Here is a 27,926-nt window from a genome sequence, read left to right on the forward strand (position 1 = left end):
GAGGGGAAGCTTCCTATCAACTCCATTCTTGCATATACTGAGCTAAAAGATGTACCAGATGTCAGAATAACTTATTAAAATGCGCTTCAAACAACAAAGTGGCAAAACACTGTAAACAAGGAAGAAGGTCTTCATTGTTCCTCTAGTGAAAAAAGTCTCCTGAATACAAGATCACAGGACTATAAGAACTTCTATTTATTAATCAATAACTGTACTTCCTTCACCTAGTTTTGAATGCTTAGATTATGTCATATATCACCAGGATTTCATGAACTTCACAATATTTTTATTTCCCAGTATGAACACTTATCCTGCCATCCCCCACAAAAAAACCCGTTAAGTTTAAATTACTTTAGCGAAACTCCTTCCTTCTGATTAAAATTGCAGTATAATAAGCAGTCAGTATATTAGAAACACCACTGAAATTAAGTACTTTTCTGCCAATGAAACATGAGTTGTTTTGAGTAAGCTATAGAATTAATCACGTTATTTCATACCAGCATTTTTTGAAATTACAACAACCTCAATATTATAAAAGGTTAAATTCGATGAAATAGATTAGTAAAGACTAAACACTTGTAGACACACAGATTTCTTTTAGATTTAAATGGGAACTAAATGGATAGTCTACTACACTCAAATGGTTATGATATAATTGCTTCTTGGAATTTTTGTGCTGGTCAATTATACATTTAATTCACATCAATGAAGTGAAAATTACAATGTACTTACAAAAGCTCTATGGAGAAGCTGTCATGTTTCTATGGTGATGAACATTTAAACAAGGTTTTGCCTGGACATCTTGCCCTCCTGTAAGGGATGTAAAAACCACTTCATACACTATGTCTCTACCCATTAGGAAGCCTGGGAAAACTTCTACATTCACAGAACATTTAAAATAAATATCAAGCTATTGTTTTCACTTAACAAAAAGGGTCTCTCAGTAACATTAAAATAAGGTTTGCTCAGCATGGCATCAAGATTGCACCAAACATATACACAGTCATCAGGGGAAGATCGGTAGAAGTACTAATAAAGAACAGAAAATAAAAGCAGGTATTAATTATTTTATTTTAAGCCATGAAAAAACTACAAATAAGCATCTCTAGAGAGTGTCAAACATTTCTCCCTTTGCTCCCAAGTAATCATTAAGAGCATACACGAAAAAGCTTTGGTCTCACGTCAGAGAAAACGGCTTTGTGAAAAGCTTTGTTAAGGTCTATAGTAAAACAGTGAAATGTTTTTTAATATTAATATGCTATGCAGTCTATTTTATACACAAATATACTTAATGTGGTCTATACAAGATGAAAAAATTAAAACTATAAGATGCTCAAGCTGTTAAAGCTGGACAAAAAGAAAGTGCTTGGGGTAAGCTAAAATAAAAACACCAACATTGCCAGTTCATTGAATTAACATCTCCATTGCATTAAAATTTGTAGGCAGAAATTCCCCATGATATTAGACAAATAAAAATCCTCCAGATTACAAATGAATTAATACATGTTTTCAATATGTAAATGAAAGAACTGAATTATAAAAAGACTATGGTAACTAGATATCAAAATTTTTACACATAATTCTGAATTTGGGAAAAAAATATTTCTTAGTACACCAAATCACATCAAATAATTCACTGGTTCACTAGTAAGGCTCTTTTCTTCTATTTTTGTTCTAATAATTCTTCAGTTCAAAATTCATAGAAAAGAAGAAATGAGAACTAACACTTGCAGAGCTCCTACTAGTTGCTTTATACGTGCTTACTGAATCTTTGCAATATATTAAAAGGTAAATTTGATTACACATAACAAAGTTCACACTCAAAAGTGAAATAATTTGCCTGCATGCCAGAATTCACTTTCAATTCAGGTCTGTCAGCCCTCAGGGCCCTGTGCTTTCCACCCCTACCCTTCACCTCCACCCTTCACCCCCACCTCCCCAGTGACAGAAATAAGTCACAAAAGACAACACCACATGGAAATGAGGAAGTGGGGGAGAATGCTTAAAAGAAACAAGACAAACCTATGATTTTAGTAAAGGACCTAAAAGCTTCTTTTACTGGAACGTTAGTTTTCAGTTCCATAAAAGCAAGCTCATACTAAGGTCAAATGCTCAGTCTTGTAAGAAACCTGTAATGCAGAAGACCATCTTAGCCAATATCCACTTTCATTTCATGAAACACTCAGGCACAAACTCCAACAAAGATACAACAAAAGAAAGATCATTAGCATTATTACTTATTATTACAGTGAAACATAAAAGATATTAAGTTTTAAAATATAATAAAAAGCAATGCCACGTGACAATTTAGGTAATAACATCATATTGCTTATGTGGCAAATAATACTTTACACAAAAAGCACTAGAAATTCCAAAACACCACAGAAGATCCTTTATGACAGTGAACAAAATAGGAAAGATGTACATGAAAGCTTCCGGCTTCCTGCTCTCACTCCAGACTAGTCCCCCGTTAGCTCCTTTGGGCCCTTCTCTCCCAGGTTTCCACATTTCCTGCATCTCTCAATAAATAATAGCTACTTTGGGTGGGCAGGTATCAGTGCAGATGCATACATACATATTAGTATTTTATTAATATATTTATATATTTTTCCATTGAAAATCAGCAAGTTGGCATTTGGTTTTATGTATCAGCCTCTGTTTAGCTAATGTGAGCTGATCATCAAGGGATACAAATCACCCTTTTCCCTTTCTATTTTAAAATAAAAGTTTACTATTTAGCTTTACATGTCTATTAAATACCCATGGATATACTACCCAACTAGAACAAACATTACCATGACCATCCTCCCAACCAAGTCAACCTTCTGCACCAACCTACCCACAGGTAACCACAAAACACTGCCATGTTTATCATCCATTTGCGTTTTTTAAAATTGTGGTGAAATATGCATAACATAAAGTTCACCATCGTAACCATTTTTAAGTGTACAGTTCAGTGGCATTACTACATTCACACTGTTATGGTACCATCACCACCACCCATCTCCAGAATGCTTTTCATATTCACCAACTGAAACTCTGTACCCATTAAACAATAACTTCCCCCCCAATACACAATCCCTGGCAACCACTATGCTACTTTCTGTTTCTACAACTTTGACAATGCTATAGGTATCTCATTTAAGGAGAATCATATAGAATTTGTCCTTTTGTGACTGGACTGTTTAACTTAGCAAGGTTCATCCACGTTGTAGCATGTGTCATAATTTCCTTCTTTAGGGCTGAATAATACTTCATTGTATGGATATATCACGTGTGGTTTACTCATTATTCATCATACACAGTTGGATTGCTTCCACCATTTAGGTATTGTGAATAATGCTGCTATGAACATGGGTGTACATGTATGTGTTGGAGTTCCTGCCTTCAATTCTTTTAGATGTATATCCAGAAGTGGAATTGCTGGATCAGATGGTAATTCCATTTTTAATTTTTTAACAAATCGTCATATTGTTTTCCACACCAGCTCTTCCGTTTTACCTTTCCACCAACAATGCACAATATTCCCAATTCCTCCACATCCTTACCAATGCTTGCTGTTTTCTGGGTTTGGCTAGTAGTCATCCTACTAGGAGGTATCTCATTGCAGTTTTGTTTGTTTGTTTGTTTGTTTGTTTTTGAAACAGGGTCTCACTTTGTCATCCAGGCTGGAGTGCAGTGGTACAATCTCGGCTCCCTGAAACCTCCACCTCCCAGGTTCAAGCGATTCTCCCGCCTCAGCTACCCAAGTAGCTGGGATTACAGGCACACGCCACCATGCCCAGCTAATTTTTGTATTTTTACTAGAGACAGGGTTTTGCCATATTGGCCGGGCTGGTCTCAAACTCTTGGCCTCAAGTGATCCTCCTGCCTCAGCTTCCCAAAATGGAGGGATTACAGGAATGAGCCACTGGGCCTAGCCTCATTGTAGTTTTGATCTGCATTTCCCTAGTGATTAGTGATGGTGATAATCTTTTTATGTGCTTATTGGCCATTTGTGTATCTTCTTTGGATAGACTTTGGATGTCTATTCAGTTTCTTTGCCTATCTTGTAATATTTGATAGAGGAAGTTCCATCACCTAGTTCTTCAAAATTGCTCCGGCTATTCTTGGCTTTCTGCACTTCCATTAAATTTTTACTACCTGCTTGTCACATTCTATAAGAAAACTTTGCAGAATTTTTATTAGAATTGCAAAAACTCTAAAAATTATGAACACAGAATATCTATCAATTTATTTAGGTTTTCTTCAACATCTTTCTTTTTTTGAGACAGGGTCTTCCTTTATCACCAAAAGTGAAGTGCAGTGGTACAATCATGGCTCACTGCAGCTTCAAACTCCTGGGCTCAAGCAATCCTCCCACCTTTGCCTCCCGAGAAGCTGGGACTACAGGCATGCACCAACCAGGCTCAGTTAATTTTTTTTATTTTGTATTTTGTAGAGACAGGGCCTCGCTATGTTGCCCAGGCTAGTCTCGAACTCCTGGCCTCCTGCGATTCTCCCACCTCAGCCTCCCAAAGTGCTGGGATTATAGGCATGAGCCACTGTGTCCAACCAACATCTTTCAATAAGATTTTTTGTTTCCATTATTGTTTCCATAAAGGCTTTAAATATCATTCGTTAGATTTATTTCAACATACCTTAGGCTGTCTTGCTATTATAATTGATTTTCAGTTTGTTGCTGGTATTTATTGATTTTTTTAAATATATTAATCCTTGTACCCAGCATCCTTGTTAAATTTTTTTATTTGAATAATCTATTTTTAAATTCAGCTGAGCTTGACTTTCTAGTTTTATTTGCCGCTATGCAGTTTCATTAGGACTCATGTACAGGTAGTGCATGAAAACATTCCTATCCCTTCTAGACACTGCTCTTACCCATAACAGGAAAGAAAGAAGACAGCTCCTTCAATGGTGTAAGAGATCAGGCCATGTCAGCTCATCAACTTCATCATCAAAGTGTATGTGTAGAATTTGCTTCAGAAATGAAAGTCTTTTTTGTCAGATAATACCTTCGTAATTATCACTCTTCTTGTTGTATTTTGTTTATTTTTTGTTATTTTGGGTTTTTTTCTGTTTTTTTTTTTTTTACAGCATCACACTATAATACTAGCTTGCTTCTAAAAGTGGTAACCAGCTCTGAATGGTGTAGAATGACTCAGCAGCATGCATTTCTGGCAATACTGAGGACTAGATATCCTTAAGTTTTTCTGTTAAAGAAAATCCCCTAGATAATATATTAAAAGTCTCCTTGAAATATTTTTTGTCTACTAACTCTTTGAGTAATACACCGAGTTTGGGGCCTCTCACGGTGTTGGCTTTTCTCAAATGTTTGTTCGTCTTTGAATTCTCTGTTCATCTCCGTATTTAAGAACTCTTGTCCTGCTTGTTCTCCCTATCATCTCCTGCCTCTGATGATACTGAATTTAGTGAATAGATCTAGAGAGTGGACGGAGGCAGGCAGGACTAATTCTGGGAGCTGTCTTGTATGTTGGTGGACCTTTATGAGCATTAACATGAACTCTCACATCACCAGTACCCACGTTCACTACTTCAGCCCAAAGCAAATGCTACACTGCCTGCTGACTGCAGCTCCCTTCTCAGCACCCTGCTTCTGTCTGTCCCTTATGTCCTTCAGTAGCAGAGCCACATGGTTTTAATTCTCTTAAAGCCAGGTCAAAGGAGAACTTGAGGAGCGCAGACAATCAAAAATCCTAAAATCAATCTGTGAAACTGCATAATATCCTATGGGAAAATAAAATGAAATGTTAGGGTTATCTTTTATACGGGGGAAGTCAATTGTGTCTCTATTAGATAAAATTCATCTGCATTGCTCTCTACTTCCTCCAAGGTAACTCTAACTCTACACAGATGTAAAAGGGCCTAGGCAGTGGAAAGTCAGTCAAAGGCACATACTCCTCCAGGACCTGATAATCCCCAGGATCTACCACACAATGCCCAGGACTCCATTAACAGACACCTGCATCTCTTTTGCCCATCCAGGACTCCACTAACAGACATCTGCATCTCTTTTGCCCAGTTCCAAGTCTTGGACAATTTTTCCCGGCACCAGAAAAATATATGTACACAAGATGAACTGTTAAAGTAAGAAGGACATAAAATATAAGTACACACTAATTACAGTAAAACAATAATCCAAGTACAAATGTTGACAGGTACTTTGGAATGATACAAAACATGATTTGGGGCCAGGCACGGTGGCATACACCTGTAATCCCAGCTACTTGGGAGGCTGAGGCAGGAGAATCACTTGAGCCCGGGAGGCAGAGGCTACAGTGAGCCAAGATTGCACCACTGCACTCCAGCCTGGATGACAGAGCAAGACTCTGTCTCAAAAAACACAAAAACAAACAAACAAACAAAACCCAATATGATTTGGGGTTAACTGGAGTTCTATAAAATTGTAAAAATTAGAATATTAACGAAAATGCAATAGAAGGCAAGCTAAACAGTAAAAGTAACCAAAACCATCAGTGTAATATGCTTCACGCAAGCCAAATAAGACCCAGGAGAGGTAAACACTAAGAATCCTGACATACGGATGTATTCAGCAGTGGCTCGCAAACTTATAGGAATCATCTTGCAACCTTGAGAAGGAGTTTCTGAACGCTGCCTTGGAAAAAAATCTTCCTTCAACAGAACCTTAAGGTCAGGAGAGACTGACACAACTACAAAGCTTTGCCCTGTTTGCTACAGAGCAAAGGACAGAAGAAAAGACTTGGGCTCCATACCTGTAGAATAAATCTGAGCAGATTCAAGCAGAGACAATCTGAATCTTCCCAGAGGTGGAAACAAGGCCAAAGAATGCAAAAAAGTTAATAAAGAACTGAACTACTACTATGTTCCAGATAAAAGGTCAGTAAAGCTAACAGGTAGAAGAGGAGTCATTAGTTCAAGATGATGGGTCTCACAACACACACTTTTTAGCATAAAAGATGAGAGAAATATACAATAAATCACCAATCTACATGTCCCTAACACTAACAATAGTACCTAGCATGCAATAAGCCACCAATAAATATTAACTGAATGATTTAATTATGCCAGAGGACAGAAGCACCAGCAGACTAGTGACATTGAGAAGTTCCTAAAAGACAGCAAATAAATGGGATCAAATCTATGGGAAAATGTCCAAGGAAAGGTATAGATGGGAGGCAGGGAGGGAGGGAAGGAGGGAGGCTGTGAAGGAGGGAAAGAAGGAATGAGGCCGGGAGGGAAGGAAGGAAGGAAGGAGGGAGGAAAGGAAGGAGGTAGGGAAGGGAAGGGAAGGAAGGAGGAAGGGAAGAGAAGGAGGAAGGAGGAAGGAGGAAGGAGGAAGGGAAGGGAAGGAGGGAAGGAAGGAAGGAGGGAGGGGAAAAAAGAAGAAAAAGGTTAGCAGTGATTCCCAGTGCTACAAGCTTATAGTCAAGAAGTTCAAAAATACGTTTAATAATAGGTAAGAATATTAAGAAATCATAGGTAAGGGTAACGTTATTGTATAAATTGCTCTAGAATAACTGAATAGTAATACAGAGAGAAAATAACTTAGATTTTCTCTTTTTAACCACCTCACAAAATTAGCTACAGGTAGACGAAAATATTAGATCTTTGCAAAACTCAAGGACAAAGTAGCCAAAATAGAATAGACTATATTATTCATCCCAACTTTGAAGGAATGATAACACTTGAAGAGTGAAACCAACTATCAAATTACTAAGAGTTTAGTTGAAGTGTAAAAATGTAGAAAAGCTAGCAGAAAACAAAATCAGGTTTTGTTTGGGCCTGCTTATATAATGTTTGTTATCAAGTCCTGAGTTTTCTCACACAATTAATTTAAAGAAAATTAAACAGCATGTGACATGGTTAAGTAGGACCAAGTCAAACATATATATTATGAATCTTAAATTATAATAAATCAACTTTCTAAAACCAGCCTTAATTATATCTTTATATATATACCCTTTCTAATCAAAATTTACCTAATATATATTTGATTAAAATGATTAAATTATACATAACATTTTTAATCAACTTTAATGCTATTTTCTTGGCTTAGGATTTTCCAACAATACAGGTATCTATAGTAATATTAGCCGCAAACTCTTGGGAAGTCAGCGCCTACAGATGAGCTCGCAGGGGAGACTTTCTTCTGCCCAGAGCTAAGGCTGACAGTCTTCCTCTATCAATGGGCAAGGTGTGCGCATGCTTTAAAATCTGCCCTTTGCCTGAGCGCTTCTTACTGAGCCTCAGTTCTGACTCCTAGTCTCTATGTGCCTCTAACCTCATTTTTCCCAAACTAAAGGTCCCACGTTACCTTGTGACCACCCTCTCTCCCCTGCTGAGGAAACCATAGCCTGGCTTATTCACTTACTCTTGGGGTTTTGTTGTTCCTGTTTGTTGTTCTTCAAATACTCAGAGATTTTTCTGGCTTTCTTGAGAACTTATCTATGTACTTAATAATACAGGCTGCTTGTTATATAGTTATATTTTTGACAAGGTCCTATTTTACAATAGGATGTGCTGTTTAACTTCCTTTAAACCAACTATGTAAAAAAAACTCATGAGGTGACAACAAACATATATAATCAGGCTCAAATAAAGCCTGATGTAGAAAATACAAAGACCAAAATTTCTCTTTGCATGACAATTTAACAATATTTTTGAAACTCTAATCTGCTGAACTTCTAAAACCCTGATTTATTTTTTATAATTTCCATGTTATTTCTACATGCTGAAATAAGAAAACATTTCAAGGAGTTATTTCCCAATAAGTGATAAATATTTCTCAGTAAGTAACATTCCATGTCTAAGTTGTCTATTTTCAATAAAGTCAAACTAGATATAACTGGATCTTTTTTTCTTTTATTTTTTAGAGACGGAGTCTCGCTCTGTCGCCCAGGCTGGAGTGCAACAGCACGATCTTGGCTCACTGCAACCTCCACCTCCCAGGTTCGAGCGATTCTCCTGCCTCAGCCTCCTGAGTAGCTGGGATTACAGGTGCCCACCACCACACCTGGCTAATTTTTATATTTTTAGTAGAGACAGTGTTTCACCATGTTGCCCAGGCTGGTCTCAAACTGACCTCAGGTAATCCACCTGCCTTGGCCTCCCAAAGTGCTGGGATTATAGGTGTGAGCCACCATACCTGGCCTAGTACTCCATTTCCTCTGTGTGGCATTAATTTTAAGGTTTTAGGGCCATCCTGATGTGCTATACGAAAGTTTTCATAAGGCCGGGTACAGTAGCTCAAGCCTGGAATCCCAGCATTTTGGGAAGTCAAGGTGGGCGGACTGCTTGAGGCCAGGAGTTGGAGACCAGCCTGAGCAACATAGCAAAACCCCATTTCTTTAAAAGAAAAAAAACAGTTTTGATCAGCCAAATACAGGATCTAGTGAAGATTAACTTGGACAGAACTTTACTATCTGTATTGTTACTATTAGTATGCTCTTCGTTACCTTGTATTTAAACATCAGTGTACCTTTTATTTATGATACTTAACCAACTATCCATTATAGGCATTAGTTAAGCAATCTATGACTAGGAATTTTTTAAAATAGAAAACAGCTCAAAACCACGCCTATGGCTTGTCCAGTTCAGCTGAGTCAAGCACTGAAATCATGAGCATTCTCCCCTGCCCTCTACTAATACCTGGCGTACTCACCAAACCCCACATTCACAGGCTCTCAACATATCTTGTTTTAAAGAAAAAAAAAATACTCATAAATATATAATATTGATTTTTATTTAAAAAAATAAGAAATAGTACGAGGTATATTTACAGAATGAAACTGCAGAAAACCTTCTGTAATTTCTAGGAGATCTGAGAATCATTTGGTATAAATTGGCTGGGCACAATGGCTCACGCCTGTAATCCCAGCACTTTGGGTGGCCAAGGCAGGTGGATCACCTGAGGTCAGGAGTTCAAGGGCAGCTTGGCCAACATGGTGAAACCTCGTCTCTATTAAAAATACAAAAATTAGCCGGGCGTGGTGGTGGGCACCTGTAATCCCAGCTACTTGGAAGGCTGAGGCAGGAGAATCACTTGAACCCGGGAGATGGAGGTGCAGCGAGCCAAGATCTCGCCATTGCACTCCAGCCTGGGTGACAGAGCAGGACTCTGTCTCTAAAAATAAATAAATAAATAAATCTAGCATTATAAAACAACTTAAAATTTCTTCTTCCTCTGTGCTACGAATAGAATAAATGTTTTCCATAAAACTGATCATTTCAATATATTGAATCCTAACTTTTTCTACTGTTAGTGTGTCCTTATTTTTTCCGTTTTTGCCTGCTGATCTTATTTTTAATCCCTAAAAGAAGACACATTCACATACATATTTTTTAATGTTTCGGTTGCTTTAGAATTCAGTCACTTCAGAACAATACAACCTTGTCTTTCTCGATGAGAATTTCCTTTCTTTAACGTAAAATGTGCAAACCAATAAATATTTAAGTCGTATCATGTTAGTGACTTAAGTTTTAAAGAAAAGTAGATTTATCACAGGCTAAAATATTACCTAACGTCAAACTATCAAACAATCTTACTGCCTTTGATGTGTATAAATACACAACTTCTATTTCTGGTATACTAAATGACAAATAAATGGACTGTAAATTAATGTACCAAGGTTCAGTTATATATTGACAAACGTTTCATAGATCAAAGATCAACATTGTGACCCACTGAATAAATGATTTTATACATGAATAAATATGAGCTTAAGTGCCAAATAAATCTAAGATTGTAACAATTCAACCCCTAGCCTCTCTGGTGAGCTCTTGTCCTGCAGGCCTGTGGTATCCTAATGACTTAAGAAGCTCTCTAGTAGCACTAAATCTGACATTTAATTTTCCTTTCAAATAAAGTTTATTCCAACCAAGGGTGAGTAGTTTTCTATTCCCCCCAAAAACTTTTAGAAAAGATACTCTAATTAACAATGACTATTTCTATAAAACTGTTTCATGAGTATTGGAGTAGTATTACAGCCAGTTTAATTTAAAGTATAATTACTTTAAAATCTGTACTTGGTAACTTTCTGTTTCCTCTCTGCCAAAGCTTTTCTTCATTTAAACAGAGGCCTGAACTATCAAACATTATGAGACATTAGTTAGTAATTTAATCATCATATAAAAGGGTTTGAAGTTTAGTTATCTATTAAACAAATACCTATTTTTTTACAACCTATACTGTTCTAAAACAGATCCTATTTCAAAAAATAAAATAAAAGCTGAATATGTCAATACCAATGTAATTTTTCATGTCACTTTGCTGTTAGATATAAAAAGTAATCCTACACAAGTTCTCCTGATGTTTCATCATCAGCTTTAACATAGTTGGTGCATTTAAGCACCTAATAATAACTGCTATTTAAAATGTGTCTTGGGTACTTTACCAACCTTTTAGGTGAGGCTACTAAATCCCTCAGCAACCCTGGTAGACAGGTACTGTTAGACTCATTTTATAAATGTGGACACAATGAAATATGCCCTAAGTCACAGTCAGTAAGAAGAGTGAAGATTGAAGTCCAGGTATTCTGAATTCCAAAGTTCACATTTTTTGCCACTGTTATGCAAATAAAGAGACAATCTAGCCTTTAAGTATAGAAATTTATCATTTTTCAATACTGAGAGGCAAAGATGAACATACTATATAGGGTTCAATTCAAAGTATACCATTACAGTGTATATGGAAACTGAGTGATGTTTTTAAAAAAAGCTGTTACTTAACAGTAACAGATACTATAAAGCCATAATTTAGTGCCCTCCTAGATCCAACTGTATTAAGAACAGTGACAAAATTAATGTCATTTCCTGAACTAAATGATTTTCAATTCAAAATTTTTATAACCTCTAATGATTTTTAAATGAAATAAATGTATTTACTCTTTTCCTCAAAATAATACTTTCCTATTTCTTTCTGAGTTCCCATACGCCCAGATTTGATGTTTCAAATGCTCACTTTACATGGTTATAACCACACCTTTACAGTAAAACAATTCCAAAAGGAAGCTGAAGTATCACAGCATTATCAGAATAGAGTATTTTCAAAATAATCATTCTGATCCATAACCATTTCTAAGGTAAAAACTAGTGCTCTCAATTGGGGGATTGTAGAGGATTTCTATTAATAAATTGCTCTATGATTTTTTTTCTTGAAGGTGTTGGGAAAATCAAATTAACACGTAACAATAGTTAGTGAGATATGGCTTCATTTTCTGTAATAAACACTAAGATCAAAACATGACCCAAGTTAAATTTCCTTGCAGGGTTCCCAGCAGGGGCTTCCCTTTTGTCTGTGATTTCCTCTCACCCACCAGAACCAGGCCAAATATGCGCATGTGCCACTAACACTAAGCAGCACTTCCTTAATCACTCATTTCCAACAATTTATGGATCATCAGTGGCAAAAAACGAGCAAAAATAATGAAAGAATGCAATGAAAGCTCGTGGAGACAGAGGCTGGACTTCCTACTCACTCTGTGTCTCTTTAAGATGGAGGCCTGATACAAATTAGCCACTGGGGGGAAAAAGTCATCTGGTCATAAAATACAGTACAAGGTCACTTTTATGTAAGTTTGCCAAAAGGGACATAAACCAGGACAATTTCAAACTGTGACACAGGATAGAAACATATTAAAAAAATCTTTGTTCCTCCTCTATTGTGCTGTCATGTTGCTCAGCTTTATAGACATTCCAAGCACCAGCACAGAACTCTTCGCTTCCACCTGGTCAGTCCAATTAATTAAGAAAGGAAGTTACCTAAAATTTTGTACTTTTTGCTTTTATTATCAGGCACTTTGTTTGAAGTTATAGGAGTTAACCTCTTAATCCTACAGACCGTGTGCTACGCTCTGGCCATTCAGGGATGTCTGGATGGTTTGGATAATTGGTCAGGATGTTGCTTATGTTACCTTTTATGCTATGACTTCAAATCAAACATAGGCATTAAAGTTAAGTACAATAGAAATTTACTCCCAGAAAAATCTTGGGTTTATGAATTAATCTGTCATAAATTTTACATAACAATCATATGGAGATATTTTCTCCCACTTTCATTAAGTTGCTGAATTTTTTTTCCTCCTGACATTTTTATTCAAAATAAGATGTTAAGATATAATATAAAACAAATATATGCCTAACTACCATTTAAACACTGGCCAGAGGTTATACCTCCAGAGTTCCTTACAAAATCAGAAAACATCTCTGATATTAATCCAGATAACCTGGAGGTCTTTTCTGGAGTGGAGGAGGGAGATAAATCATACAGCCAATCTGAGGTATGATAAGCACAGCAGTGATGGCTGCCTTAAGATGTTCCCTGAGCCCTAAGAGCCACATACTGCAGAAAAAGCAGGCTTACTGCAAAACAAAACAAAAATCACCAAATGGAACCTTTTTATCAGTTGAAAAATTAAGATGTAAACGGAGTCACTTTCAAATACCTATGAACATACCTAAAGCTCAATACACATAGGTGACAGCAAAATAATCTAAATTTGGTAAACATTTAACTGCTAATAATAAGTCTAAATTCCAAGATAAAAGTTAGCTGCTTACTAAAAAAAAACTTTTACTTTATCAAAACCATTTCTATGCTCTTACACTTCAGAATTATAAAGTAAGGGAATAGCAAGGAGATGGTCCTAATAAAATAGAAACACACACCGCTGCCACGGTAAGAAGAGAGAAGCAAAGCTATTGAAGGCCCTTAAAAGGACATAGTCAACCCCCCAGGCCTAATATGTCCTGTTTGAATTAACATAGTGGTTTAATTAAAAACTAAGTAGAGAATTCTGCTTAATTTGATTTTCAATTCAAGCTCTGCATCCGCCCATGGCCAGTGGCCAATTTCCGCATCTCGGCACAATATGCAAGAAGCTGTTTGAACATCGATTGCCCAGGGGAATCCATGGGAGTAGAGTGGGGCCATATGCCATTTAGGGATACACCAGACTTAGACACAGTAAAACAGCACCAGGAGGGTGGCCACAGGAAAAAAAAAAAAAAAGGAAATTTTACTTAACCATATTACAAGTTTGTCATTGCTCAAATTAGTGCGCTGAATCTACCCATTAGAAATGTTTCTAGCCTCTCTTCAGTATCACTTCAGCAACTATATGTGTCAAATGTAATCGATGAGCAAGCAGCTTTAAAGGAATATACATAAATATATGTACTTATTCGCCAAATATGTTAAACATTCTAATGACTGTGATCAATCATAACATTAATTTCAATAAAGCAACGAAGTTAATTCTAATAAGCACTGTGTAAAGAACCATGTATCTTTAAAAATGTTATTTAGAACTTACACAGGTAGTTAACAAATGATTCTAGACTACAGAAATATACAACATGAAAGGGCTCAAATGTATGCTTAACACATTTAGACTTAACGACACAATATTAGTAACCTTTCCAACTTTCATGTGACTGATTTTAAAACCGAAAAATATGAATATTTTAAAATAACATGTCTTGATTAGCTTAATTTTAAAACTTTCTAAACATTTCTACTAGGATCTAGAACACACCTTATCTTCAAACAAGTTTGTTTCAAAGTATGCTAGCTGTAATGCTCAAGCTGAGTTATTCTACTTCAGTACATGCCATTGCAAAATGGGAAACATATTTTAAAACCGCCTGAGATAATAATCTGTGAGGAATTAAAAGATGACTGTACTGTATTCAGTTGCTTGCTTTCTGAGGCTCATATTTTATAGAATATTTAGTGATAATAAGTATTCTAGAAAACTTATTAGTGATTAGTGATATTTTATAGAATACTTATTAGTCAAATGCATTTAAAGACTACCTCGAAGATAAAGGTAATTTAATAATAGCTAATTTACTAAATGAAGTCCTGGGCTATGTGCATTACATGAATAATCACATCTCATTTAATCACCAAAATGATACAATAAAGTAAAGATCATTATTACACCCATTTTATAGAAAGCAACCCCGCGGTTTAGATGAAGTCACCTCCCAGGCAGTCTGACTGATGCCAAATTTTCTCACGGTTGCAGCTTCACCATCTTCCGCTGGCCTCTTTCCCTACCTTCAAGCTAGAATCCCATCTCCCTCCTTCCTTTAACGGCATTAACAACCAAATTCTTTAATTTGGTTTTCTGCAGCACCTATTACAACTTCCCAAGTTGGACAAATGGCAGTCGTCCGGGGCTCCACCTTCTGCTGTGTTTGGGAATTAATTGGATTCATAGTTGCCTGTATCCTACAGTCATTCAATATTTCAGTCCCATTTGAGGTCAAGAAACACAGCTGGTGACCCTCGAGTGATTTTTAGGCAACTAACATGGTCAAAGATGTGCTAAGAAAAGAATATTAATCATGTATAAAAAGACTAAAAATTTTTTTAAAATAGAGGAAGTAAGTGCTGTACAATCGTATGTGTGAAATATCTCTAATTAACTTCTATGATCCCTCCTCAGCTGATTCTCCCTTTGACCTTAAGTCTGTAAGGGGGAACAGGAGAAAAATGACATGTCACTGGGATTTTTTGTCATTTTTTTCTTTTTTAATTCTGGAGATTGTTGCTAATTCTTCAAACAGATTTAGCCAAGTCCCTTTCCTAGTTGGTTAATTCACAAGAAGGGAAGAAAATAACTTGGAGGCAAAGAGTTTGTCCATATTACACCCTGTTATTGTAAATAACAATCTATTCAACTAGATTGTTATAAAAAGTATAAATTAGGTAGATACTGTTTATAATGTCAAATATGAAAATATAGTTCACACCAAGCTTTATCATTTGTTTTTTGTATGTGGTACTATTACACAAGAGGTAGTGTCAGGAAGAGGGAAGAACTTTGCTTATTGAAAGCAAACGTCGGCAGGCAATGTCACAGAGTCAGGTGCAGGACTGATTCGGTGCCGTGTCTACAGATCAGTGTTCTGCACTGTGTGGGGCATGTACTCCTTTGTACTCCTTTCCTTTGTGACCTGCACAAAGTCTAAAATGCATATTTATCTCTAAATATACTCAAGTGGTAGATGAAAAAAAATTATTTTCAAAAATCCTATTCTGGCTTCTCTGTTGCCTACAACATAAAACTCAAATGACCAGATGGAGGACTCCAGGCCTCCAGAATTCGACCCTGGCAAGCGGCTTGTGCACCCTCATCTCTCACCATTCTCCAGTATCTAAGTACCGGCCATTCCCTCAATACTGTCAGAGCTCTAGGCCTTTGCTCAAGCCTGGAATGCCACACTCTAGCAAACCCCTGCTCATCCTTCAAGTCCCAGCCCAAGTCCAGATTGACTTCCCCTGTGAAGCCTGCTCAGATTCCCCAGGAAAATCAAGATATCCTTTCCTTTCAGGGTTTCCCATAGGACTTCATTATATAAAAGGGCTTCAAACTGCATCTTATTTGTTTACATCTGTCATTTCTCCCACTGTCCGACCCTTGAAGGCCAGAGGCCCATCTTTTCATCTGTGTCCCCAGCAAGCTCCTATAAAGAGCATAATAACTGCTACTTAAGGAATTGGTTAATAAAACTGAATTCTCAATAAAATTCATTCTCTGTTGAATGAATGAATATCCATCAAAAGTTATGTTTCCAAAATTCTACAGAAATTGCCTTCTCAAGAGTCTACAATGACCTCCTTTCTTCTTGTTGTTTATTCTTGGTTTTTGTTTGTTTCTGAGACAGGCTGGAGTGCAGTGACGCAATCACAGCTCACACCACAGCTTCAACCTGCAGGCTCAAGCAATCCTCCCACCTTAGTCTCCAGAGGGGCTGGGACCACAGGTACCCATCGCCACACCCAGTTAATTTTTTTATTTTTAGTACAGACAGGGTCTCACTGTGTTGCCCAAACTGGTCTCGAAAAACTGGCCTCAAGCAACCCTCCTGCCGCAGCCTCCCAAAGTGGTGGATTACAGGTGTGAGCCACTGCACCCGGCCATTGACTAAATTTTAATTGCCTGTCTTAAGAATACATCATGATTTTTTAAATTCCAATGCATAAAAGCCAGTTTTCTTAATGTCAGGTTTGACTGCCAGAGTCATTCATTCTGATCCTGGTATATTTACTAAATGTGAAATCAGCTGTCAGTTTTCAGCTGCAGACTGTTAACGTATGGAATAACAGCTAGATAACAGAAAGGGGAGCCCATGGAAATAACACTTTACTGTCACCTTAAACTAAATAAGATACCCTAAGGAAAGAATAAAAGCTATTATATCAGGTTTATCCATTACACTAGATGTATGCATACTGTAAAAGTACTCACAGGTCTAAAAGATGTCTCTCTCTCATGGACATGCAAAGTAATTCAATATGCAGAATTACTGTTATTGTTAACAATGTGTTATCAATATTATTTACTACGCATTTTTTATATTCCATTTAAATAATTTAAGTCTGCTTTTTCTAGTTCAATGTGAATGATATTTAATTCCTCACTTAACCAATTTAATTCCAATACTAGATTCACTTACCTTTTTCAGGCCAGCAAAGCCTTCTGATTCCAGAAAGAAAAAGGCAAAGGGCATCAATACAAATAAACAAAGGTTGGAAAAAAGGGAAGCAAGATTCCACAAACCTATAAAAAGGGTAACAAGAAAAGAAGAAAAACAGGTTAGATATTGAAATTGTGGTATTAATCAAGATCTATACTTTTAAATAGTAAAAATAAACAAAAAGTAACAAATGACCTAAACTTAGAAATCATAAAATAATTATAGTATGTATTTATTTAAATTTTTTTAACATTGTAACTTGTACCTATTGGGAAAAGTCAGTATAGAAACTAATGTTTTTTTCCATGCCCTAAAGTAAATTCACTAAAAATATGACGTGTGCAGAGATCCAAAGGCACAGCCTCTTTAGACATATAGGCACCGGAATATTTAAATTAGAGCCACTAGCATTTATTGAGCCCCTAATAAATGCCAGATACTCTACTGAACATTTTACATGCATAATCCCATTTAATTTAAGCCTCATAAAAACCCTAAAAATAATAATTAGCATTTATTGAGCCCTTATGTGCCAAGCACTATTCTAAGTGATTTACAGACATTATCCGAACTCATTTACTTGCCACAGCAATCCCATGAGGCAGGTAGCATTACTGCCCCAAGATGACAGAAGAGGAGCAGGCTATGCAACTTGCCACAGCTGTAGAGCATCCAAGTGGCAGAGCTGACTTAATTCCAGGATTTTAAAAAATCACTACATCACAGAAATTTTGGTAAACAATTCCAAGTGGGAAAGAAAAAGTCACAGAGACTGGCAATCTTAAGTGACCTTTTCCTCCCTGGCACAAAATGGCAAGTAAAATAAGAACAGATTTAGCAAAAGACAGAGCCCTGTTAGGTATGTCATTGGGAGGGTATTTGGCCCAACATGTCAGATCATATTTTTTACAGGTAAAAAAATAAAATTTAAAACTGAGTTTCAAAATGATGGTGATAATCATTACAAAAGTTTATAAAATCAAGAGTCAAAGATAAAATTTACGTCAAGGATAAATTCAATGAACTGTTTGCCATTATAATTCAATGTTTTTGAAAGTAGGCAACTAATGCTTTCTCAACACCTTCATTTCCAAGCAGTGGAGATGTGGTGATGAAGAAACACAACCCCTCTGCTCTCAGAGCTGCTCACGCTGCAGAGCTGCATGCAGAGACTACCTCTGAGCTGGCAGTGGGCACAGGGAGCAGAGCCGTCCCTAACTACTGCAGTTTTGAATAAACATAAAGGTTTGTAACTGTCCTAATGTCCTTTGGAATAGCATGGAGTATAAACAAACACAATTAATTTAGCAATTAATACGGGTCAGCTGGGGAGATTCACTTCCTTTAGTAGACAAGGTAATATAATAAAATCAACTCACAGTTTCTTATTCAAAAATCTACATGGATTTAACAAATTTACAATGTACATTTATCTTTGTAGAAAGTAAAATCTTTTATAAAACAATATCTTAACATCTTTTAGTGGAAAAACTGCAATTTGAACTATTTAAAATTTTTAAAAATTTTAAATTTTAAAAAATGTAAATAATTTTATATTTTCCAGCCTTTAAAAAAAGCCAAACATTCTGTTTTCTTTATTCAAAAAGAGTATAATTAGAGTCAATTGTTTTATTGTGCTAATTACTGGAAGAGCATACAGAACGATGGCTGCATGCACACAATTGAGTTCTAGGCAGACCTGGGTGCACGTCCTGCTGCACTTCTATGTGACAACATTGCTAAATCACAGGTTCTTCATCTATCAAATATGGCTAATGACGGGTCTGTAGACATTGGTAAGCATTAAATAATGCACGTACAACAACTGACACAATGCCTGTCATAAAATAAGCATTTAATTAATTTTTGCTTTTAAGTTACAGCACCAGAGGCTACTAGTAACAGTGCTATCAGCTCCCACACCAAACTACCATCCTTCCTGAGACTCCAGGCTCGCTTGCTAGTTTTCCCTTTCATCTTCTTTCTACCAAGTGTATTGGCTCCTGGTTTTTGTTACTAGAAATGAGCATGTGTCCAGGAACAATCTCTTCCCTCCCCCAACAGCCTATGGGTAAAGGTATCATATACGCAACTTTTAAAAGTTGTATCTAAAGAATAAATTGACCTGGATCAAAGCTGTACCTTCCAGGTCCAATTCATAACCTAAAGTGCATGGTCTTTGGCCTCTCTTTTGCCTGCTCAACAGCATTTTCTCTTCTTTATGGTTTCCAAGTAAGTTACTTTCAGATATGTGGGGTATAACAATAATTAGTATTATGTAAATTACATTATTATTATTCTTTAGTAGGCTAGAGAACCATGGTTGTTAATCTATTGCTTTATTTAGGCGTGGTGAAAAATACATGACCGTTTCAAATCATTTGTGTTATGAAAGATAAAGGTCAGTGTGTCACGAATTATATTCATTTTACACAAGATAGTTTTATTCCAATTAAATATCTCATAGTCTTTTTAAAAAAACATTTTTAAAAGTTATCTACTGGCCGGGCATGGTGGCTCATACCTGTAATCCCAGCACTTTGGGAGGCCGAGGCAGGCAGATTACGAGGTCAGGAGTTCGAGACCAGCCTGGCCAGCATGGTGAAACCCTGTCTCTAATAAAAATACAAAAAAAAAAAAAAATTAGCTGGGCATGGTGGTGCGCACCTGTAGTCCCAGCTACTCAGGAGGCTGAGGCAGGAGAATTGCTTGAACCCAGCAGGCAGAGGTTGCAGTGAGCCGAGATTGCACCACTGCACTACAGCCTGGGCAACAGAGCGAGACTCCATCTCAAAAAAAAAAAAAAGAAGTTATCTACTACAAGTATACCTAAAGCCGATTGCATGTTGCTGTACTGTGCTTTGCAGATACCGTGTGACGGTTTGTGACAACTCTGTGGTGAACAAGTCTATCTGTGCCATTTTCCCAATACCACGTGCTCACTTCATTTCTCCATGTCATATTTTGGTAATTTTTGCAATACTTCAAACATTTTCACTATTATTACATCTGTTATGATCTATGACCAGTGATCTTTGATGTTACTATGTTAATTGTTTGGGGGCGCTGCAAATTGTGCCCATAAAAGATGCCAAACTTAATCAATAAATATTGTGTGTGTTGACTGCACCTCTGCTTGGCTGTTCCTTCATCTCTCTCCTTCTCCTAGGGCCTCCCCATTCCCTGAGACACAACGATATTGAAAGTAGGCCATGTAATAATCCTACAATGTCCTCTAAGTGTTCAAATGAAAGGAAGACTCACACATCTCTCACTTTCAATCAAAAGCTAGAAGCTTAGTGAGGAAGGCATGTCAAAAAATGAGATAGGCTGAAAGCTAGGCCTCTTATGCCAGTTAGCCAAGTTGTGAATGCAAAGGAAAAGTTCCTAAAGGAAATTAAAGTGCTACTCCAGTGAACACACAAATGACAAGAAAGCAAAACAGCCTTACTGCTGATATGGAGAAAGGTTTTGTGCTCTGGACAGATCACACCAGCCACAACATTCCCTAAAGCCACAGCCTGAGCAAGGTTGTAACTCTTCACATCTATGAAGGCTGAGGGAGGTGAGGAAGCTCCAAAAGAAAAGTCTGAAGCTACCAGAGGTTGGTTCATGAGGTTTAAGGAAAGAAGCCACCTCCATAACATAAAAGTGCAAGGTGAAGCAGCAAGTGCTGATGGAGAAGCTGTAGCAAGTTCTCCAGAAGATCTGGCTAAGACCATCAATGAAAGTGGCTGCACAAAACAACAGATTTTCAAGGTAGACAAAAACAGCCTTACACTGGAAGAAGACGCCATCTAGGACTTGCATAGCCAGAGACAAGTTCAATGTCTGGCTTCAAAGCTTCAATCAACAGGCTGACTCACTTGTTAGGGGCAAATACAGAAAGTGACTTTAAGTTGAAGCCAGTGCTCATTCACCATTCCAGAAATCCTAAAACCCTTAAGAATTATCCTAAGCCCATTCTGCCTGTGGTCTATAAACAAGAACAACAAACCTGCCCGGATGGCAGCACATCTGTTTACAGCATGGTTTACTAAATAGTTTAAGCCTACTGTTAAGACTTGCTACTCAAAAAAAAAAAAAAAAAAGATTTTCAAAATACTACTGCTCATTGACAATGCACCTGCTGATGGAGATGAAAGAGCCCTGGTGGAGATGTTTAAAAAGATCAATATTTTCATGCCTTAACACAACATCCATTCTGTAGCCCATGGATCAAGGAGTAATTCTGACTTTCAAGTCATATTATTTAAGATACATTCTGTAAGGCTATACCTGCTACAGATTCCTCTGATGGATTGTGCAAAGTAAACTGAAAACCTTCTGGAAAGGATGCACCATTCTAGATGCCATTAAGAATATCTGTGATTCATGGGAGGTCAAAATATCAACCTCACCTGGAGTTTGGAAGTGATGGGTTTGAGATGTCAGTGGAGAAAGTCTCTGCAGATGTGGTAAAAATAGCAAGAGGACTGGAATTAGAGGTGGATCCTGAAGATGTGACTGAATTGCTGCAATCTCATGATAAAACTTGAAATGAACGAGGAGCTGCTTCTTAGGGATGAACAAAGAAAGTGGTTTCTTGAGATGGAATCTACCCTGGTGAAGATGCTGTGAACATTGTGGAAATGACAATAAAGGACTTAGAATATCATAAACTTAGTTGATAAAACAGAGGCAGGGTTTGAGAGGATGGACTTCAATTTTGAAAGAACTTCTACTGTGAGTAAAATGCTGTCAAACAGCATCACATGCTACACAGAAATCTTTTGTGAAAGGAAGAGTCAATCAATATGGCAAACTACACTGTTGTCTTATTTTAAGAAATTGCCACGGTCACGCAACCTTTAGCAAAATCAAGGCAAGACCTCCACCAGCAAAAAGATTACAGCTCACTAAAGGCTCAGATAATTGTTACCATTTTTTAGCAATAAAGGCATGTACACACATTGCTATTGCACACTTAATAAATGGCATTATAGTGTTAAGTATAATTTTTATATGCTCTGAGAAATCAAAAAATTTGTGTGATTCACTTTATTGCCACATTCGCTTCATCACAGTACACTGGAACCAACCCTGCAGTATCTCCAAGGTATGCCTGTCACTGTTAGGTATGTAACATAGTAGGCATTGTTCTGGATACGTTAAGATGCTATCTTTTTTTCTGAGACAGTGGTGTGATCATGGCTCACTGCAGCCTTGACTTCCCAGACTCAGGTGATCCTCCCGCCTCAGCCTACCAAGTAGCTGAGACTATAGGCACATGCCACCGTGCCAGGCTGATTTTTGTATTTTTTGTAGAGATGAGGTTTCACCATGTTGTCCAGTCTGGTCTCAAACTCCTGGGCTCAAGCGATCCACTCACCTCAGCCTCCCAAAGTGCTGGGATTACAGATGTGAGCCACTGCACTCAGCCAGCTACCACCTTAATATTTTATGAGGGAAGGTCCCCCGTTTTACAGACGGACTTCAGGTTCAGAAACGTGCCCTTGTCCCAGAGCAAGAAAAACTTAAGCTATTCCTTCTAATATGCTGTAATGTTTTTAGGCAACATAAATTCCACCATTTCCTAACCTTTTTTTTTTCAGATGGAGTCTCACTCTGTTGCCCAGGCTGGAGTGCAATGGCGCAATCTCGGCTCACCGCAATCTCCGCCTCCCGGGTTCAAGCGATTCTCCTGCCTCAGCCTCCTGAGTAGCTGGGATAACAGGCACGCGCCACTGCGCCAGGCTAATTTTTGTATTTTCAGTGGAGACGGAGTTTCACCATGTTGGCTGGGCTGCTCTTGAACCCCTGACCTCAGGTGATCCACTCGCTTCGGCCTTCCAAAGTGCTGGGATTACAGGCATGGGCCACCACGCCTGGCCCCTAAACTTCTTATATTCTTTAGAGATGCTTGCAAATGTATGATTACAAATCTCTAGATCAAAGGTCCATGAGGCATGAATATATTTCTACACCTCATTTTTTATTTCCCAATGCCTGCTACAGTGCTGAGTAATCAATAAAAATGAGTTCCATAAACAAACAATATTACAATCCATATAGCTAAATGTTAACAGGAAAAGACTCTCTCAGGAAAAAGGTCACAGGCTGAACTAAAGAAGTAGTCTCAGAATTAATTCTCAATTGTCAGTACAAAATGAACAAAATTATAACATATACAAATATAAGAAATATTAATTTTTAACAGCTTTATTGAACTACATAAAATAAGCTACACATGGAGTATATAATTTGATAAGTTTTGTCATGAGAATGCACCAATGACACCATCACCACAATTAAGCTAATGAACATAAACACATCCATCACCCCCAAATTTTCTCATATCCTTTTATAATCCCTGCCCCCTGCCACTCCCCACCTCCCCCTGATTCCCAGTCAGCCACTGACTCTGCACTTTAGAAAAGAACTCAGAAATAATGCCGCATGTCTACAACTATCTGATCTTTGACAAACCTGACAAAAACAAGAAATGGGGAAAGGATTCCCTATTTAATAAATGGTGCTGGGAGAACTGGCTAGTCATATGTAGAAAGCTGAAACTGGATCCCTTCCTTACACTTTATACAAAAATTAATTCAAGATGGATTAAAGACTTACATGTTAGACCTAAAACCATAAAAACCCTAGAAGAAACCCTAGGCATTACCATTCAGGACATAGGCATGGGCAAGGACTTCATGTCTAAAACACCAAAAGCAATGGCAACAAAAGCCAAAATTGACAAATGGGATCTAATTAAACTCAAGAGCTTCTGCACAGCAAAAGAAACCACCATCAGAGTGAACAGGCAACTTACAAAATGGGAGAAAATTTTTGCAACTTACTCATCTGACAAAGGGCTAATATCCAGAATCTACAATGAACTCAAACAAATTTACAGGAAAAAAACAAACAACCCCATCAAAAAGTGGGCGAAGGATATGAACAGACACTTCTCAAAAGAAGACATTTATGCAGCCAAAAAACACATGAAAAAATGCTCATCATCACTGGCCATCAGAGAAATGCAAATCAAAACCACAATGAGACACCATCTCACACCAGTTAGAATGGCGATCATTAAAAAGTCAGGAAACAACAGGTGCTGGAGAGGATGTGGAGAAATAGGAACACTTTTGCACTGTTGGTGGGACTGTCAACCCTTGTGGAAGTCAGTGTGGCGATTCCTCAAGGATCTAGAACTAGAAATGCCATTTGACCCAGCCATCCCATTACTAGGTATATACCCAAAGGATTATAAATCATGCTGCTATAAAGACACATGCACACGTATGTTTATTGTGGCACTATTCACAATAGAAAAGACTTGGAACCAACCCAAATATCCAACAATGATAGACTGGATTAAGAAAATGTGGCACATATACACCATGGAATACTATGCAGCCATAAAAAAGGATGAGTTCATGTCCTTTGTAGGGACATGGATGAAACTGGAACCCATCATTCTCAGCAAACTATCGCAAGGACAAAAAACCAAACACCGCATGTTCTCACTCATAGGTGGGAATTGAACAATGAGAACACATGGACACAGGAAGGGGAATATCACACACCGGGGACTGTTGTGGGGTGGGGGGAGGGGGGAGGGATAGCATTAGGAGATATACCTAATGCTAAATGAGGAGATGATGGGTGCAGCACACCAACATGGCACATGTATACATATGTAACAAGCCTGCACGTTGTGCACATGTAACCTAAAACTTAAAGTAGAATAATAATAAAATAAAATAAAAAAAAGATGGATTTTCTAGAACATTATACAAATGGATTGTGTGATATATACTCTTGTTTTTGTCTGGCTTCTGTTATCTAGCACAACTATTTTGAGATTAGATTGAATCGCTATTGGACTGCATCCATTCACCTGCAAACAATCTATGTTGTTCCCAATTTGTGGCTATTAAAAATAAAATAGTCATAAATGCTCATGTACAAGTCTGTGTAGACCTATGCGATCATTTCTTTTGGGAAATACATAGGTCATATGGTAGATACCTGTTTAACATTTTAAGAAACTGCCAAAATGTTTTCCAAAGTGGTTGTATTTTACAGTCTCTCACCAGCAGAGATCAAGTTCATCCACATTTTCACTAAAAATAATATTTTAACCATTCTGGCAGGTACACAGGAATATCTTATTGCTGTTTTAATTCCCATTTATCTAATAAATAATGATGTGAACATCTGTTCATGAGCTTATTTGCCATCTATTCATGTCTTTTTTAGCTAAGTATCTCTTCAAATCTGTTGCCCATTTTTTCATTTTTTTTTAATTACTGAGTTTGACAAGTTCTTTATGGGCTCTGAATACAACTCCTTTATAAGGTATGTGATTTGTCAATATTTTCTCCCAGTCTGTAGACTCTCTTTATTCTCTTAACAGTATCTTTAAAGAACAAAATTTATTAGAAGTCCAATTTATCCATTTTTTTCTTTTATGGATTGTGCTTTCGCTATCCTACCTAAAAAATTATGGCCTAGTTCAATGTTACAAAGACTTTCTCCTACATTTTCTTCTACAAGTTTCATAGTTTTAGGATTTACATTTAAGTCGATGATCCCTTGAGTTACAGTTTGCGAATGGTGCCAGGTATGGACTGAAGTTCATTTTTTGCCTATAATTAAAAAATTGTTCTAGCACCATTTGTTTAAAAAAAAATCATCTTCCCACTAAATTCCCTTGGCACCTTTGTCAAAAATCAATTGACAATATATGTATGTATCTAATCCTGGACAGTCTATTCTGCTGATTTGATCTGTTTATCTTTATGCTAACATCATGCACTTTTTTTTTTTTTTTTTTTTGAGACAAAGTCTTGCTCTGTCATCCAGGCTGGAGTGCAGTGGCACGTCTCGGCTCACTGCAACCTCCGCCTCCCAGGTTCAAGCGATTCTCCTGCCTCAGACTCCCAAGTAGCTGGGATTACAGGTGCATGCACCACACCAGGCTAATTTTTGTATTTTTAGTAGACACAGGGTTTCACCATGTTGGTCAGGCTTGTCTCGAACTCCTGACCTCAAGTGATCTGCCTGCCTTGGCCTCCCAAAGCGCTGGGATTACAGGCATAAGCCACCGTGCCCAGCCACACCACACAGTCTTGATTACTGTAGCTTTAAAAGAGTCTTTAGGTCAGATGGTCAATCCTCTAACTTTGTTATCTTTCAAAGTTGTTTAGGCTATTCTAAGTCCATAGAATTTGCATCCGAATTTTAGATCAGCTTGTCAATTTCTACAAAGTATGCTGGAATCTTGACAGGCATGGTGTTGAATCTCTATCAATTTGAAGAGAGCTGACCTCTTAATATTGCTGTTACAGACTGAATGCTTCTGTCCCCACCCCCAAATTCATAACTGAAACCCTAATCCTCAGTGTGATGGTCGTTAGAGACAGGAGCCCTTGGGGGTAGTTAGGTCACAAGAGGGCAATCCTCATGATGGGATGGTGCCCCTATAGGAGGAGACAGAAGAGAGTTTGCTTTCTCTGTCTCTGCTCTCAGCCATGGAAGGATGCGAGGAGACAACCATCCGTGAGCCAAGAATAGGGTCCTCATCAAGAACCCAACCATGGTGGCACCCTGATATGGGACTTTCAGCCTCCAGAACTGTAAAAAATATTTGTTTTGTATTGTAAGCCACCCAGTCTATGGTATTGTTATAGCAGCCCAAACTGATAAAGTGTCTTCGAATCCATGAACACAGTATCTGTCTCCACTTATTGTGGTACTCTTTAATTTCTCTCAACAATGTCTTAGTTTATAGTACTTAGGTCTCACGCATCCCTAAGTATTTCGTATTTTTGATGCTATTGCATATAAGTGATATTGGGTTGTAAATTCAATTTCCAATTATTAACTGCCAGTATATAGAAATATAATTGTTGTATATTGATCTTCTATCCTGCAGCCTTGAAGAATTTACTTACTGGTTCCAATAGCTTTTTTATAACAGATCCCATCAGAATTTCCGCATAGAAAATATCATCTGTGAAATAGTTTTACTGTTTCCTTTCCAACTTCAGTGACTTATTTTTTTTAAAAAAAACCTCCAGAATGATGTTACATAGAAGTGGTAAGAACAGATGTCCTTGCCTTGTTCCTGATCTCAGGGGGAAAGCATCCAGTCTTTCACCATTAAGTATGATGTTATCAGTAGGTTTTTTGTAGATGCTTTTTTTTTTTTTTTTTTTTTTTTTTTTTGAGACGGAGTCTCACTCTGTCGCCCAGGCTGGAGTGCAGTGGTGCGATTTCTCAGCTCACTGCAACCTCCACCTCCCAGGTTCAAGCAATTCTCCTGTCTCAGCCTCCCGAATAGCTGGGACTACAGGTGCACACCACCATGCCCAGTTAAGTTTTATATTTTTAGTAGGGACAGGGTTTCACCACATTGGTCAGACTGGTCTCGAACTCCTGACCTCAGG

The 27,926-nt window shown here is 37.5% G+C and overlaps 1 protein-coding gene across 28 annotated transcripts in view, besides 9 other annotated features; it reads right to left on the reverse strand.

Moving 5' to 3' along the window:
* Window positions 1-27,926, reverse strand: part of LMBR1 (limb development membrane protein 1) — a 224,172-nt gene that overhangs the window by 109,911 nt on the left and 86,335 nt on the right. For 24 of the 28 annotated variants that reach the window (XR_007060137.1, XR_007060136.1, XR_007060135.1 and 21 more), the window contains one exon: window positions 17,467-17,570. Coding sequence is in view for 14 of the 28 variants with exons in the window: in NM_001363412.2 (NP_001350341.1) it covers window positions 17,467-17,570 (104 nt within the window). In the remaining 14 variants the exon portion in view is untranslated. Of the gene's footprint in view, window positions 1-732; window positions 811-17,466; window positions 17,571-27,926 lie in introns of all 28 variants that reach the window. The other 4 variants (NM_001350958.2, NM_001350956.2, NM_001350955.2 and 1 more) reach the window with 1 other exon arrangement.
* Window positions 5,232-5,281: an enhancer, noted in NCBI's record as "active region_26912". NCBI's record gives its function as "activates an Ori minimal core promoter by ATAC-STARR-seq in GM12878 lymphoblastoid cells {active_cell/tissue: GM12878}" and the evidence as "EXISTENCE:reporter gene assay evidence [ECO:0000049][PMID:35858748]".
* Window positions 5,582-5,651: an enhancer, noted in NCBI's record as "active region_26913". NCBI's record gives its function as "activates an Ori minimal core promoter by ATAC-STARR-seq in GM12878 lymphoblastoid cells {active_cell/tissue: GM12878}" and the evidence as "EXISTENCE:reporter gene assay evidence [ECO:0000049][PMID:35858748]".
* Window positions 11,786-13,109: an enhancer, noted in NCBI's record as "1324 bp sequence that was swapped with the mouse sequence via CRISPR/Cas9 editing in ZRS knockin mice". NCBI's record gives its function as "controls Shh gene expression and limb bud development when it replaces the mouse ZRS in knockin mice" and the evidence as "EXISTENCE:transgenic organism evidence [ECO:0001131][PMID:27768887]".
* Window positions 11,786-14,157: a biological region, named in NCBI's record as "ZPA regulatory sequence". NCBI's record gives its function as "regulatory_interactions: SHH".
* Window positions 11,929-14,157: an enhancer, noted in NCBI's record as "2.2 kb fragment used in the ZRS/pre-ZRS transgene". NCBI's record gives its function as "activates a minimal Hsp68 promoter in the posterior margin of developing limb buds in transgenic mice" and the evidence as "EXISTENCE:transgenic organism evidence [ECO:0001131][PMID:29543231]".
* Window positions 11,945-14,112: an enhancer, noted in NCBI's record as "2.1 kb fragment used in the ZRS/pZRS Hsp68-LacZ transgene". NCBI's record gives its function as "activates a minimal Hsp68 promoter in the posterior margin of developing limb buds in transgenic mice" and the evidence as "EXISTENCE:transgenic organism evidence [ECO:0001131][PMID:22495965]".
* Window positions 12,166-12,953: an enhancer, noted in NCBI's record as "VISTA enhancer hs2496". NCBI's record gives its function as "enhancer in: limb[5/5]" and the evidence as "EXISTENCE:transgenic organism evidence [ECO:0001131][PMID:17130149, PMID:27768887]".
* Window positions 12,180-12,953: a conserved region, noted in NCBI's record as "conserved region; highly conserved ZRS region". NCBI's record gives the evidence for it as "COORDINATES:sequence alignment evidence [ECO:0000200][PMID:12837695]".
* Window position 13,860: a transcriptional cis regulatory region, noted in NCBI's record as "position of the TPT-PS associated G>C point mutation in the ZRS/pre-ZRS transgene, where the mutant allele exhibits ectopic ZRS expression in developing limb bud". NCBI's record gives its function as "important for restricted expression of an Hsp68-LacZ reporter gene in the posterior margin of developing limb buds in transgenic mice" and the evidence as "EXISTENCE:transgenic organism evidence [ECO:0001131][PMID:29543231]".

Source organism: Homo sapiens, chromosome 7 (genome assembly GCF_000001405.40).
Source record: "Homo sapiens chromosome 7, GRCh38.p14 Primary Assembly".
In the NCBI taxonomy this organism is placed as follows: domain Eukaryota; kingdom Metazoa; phylum Chordata; class Mammalia; order Primates; family Hominidae; genus Homo; species Homo sapiens.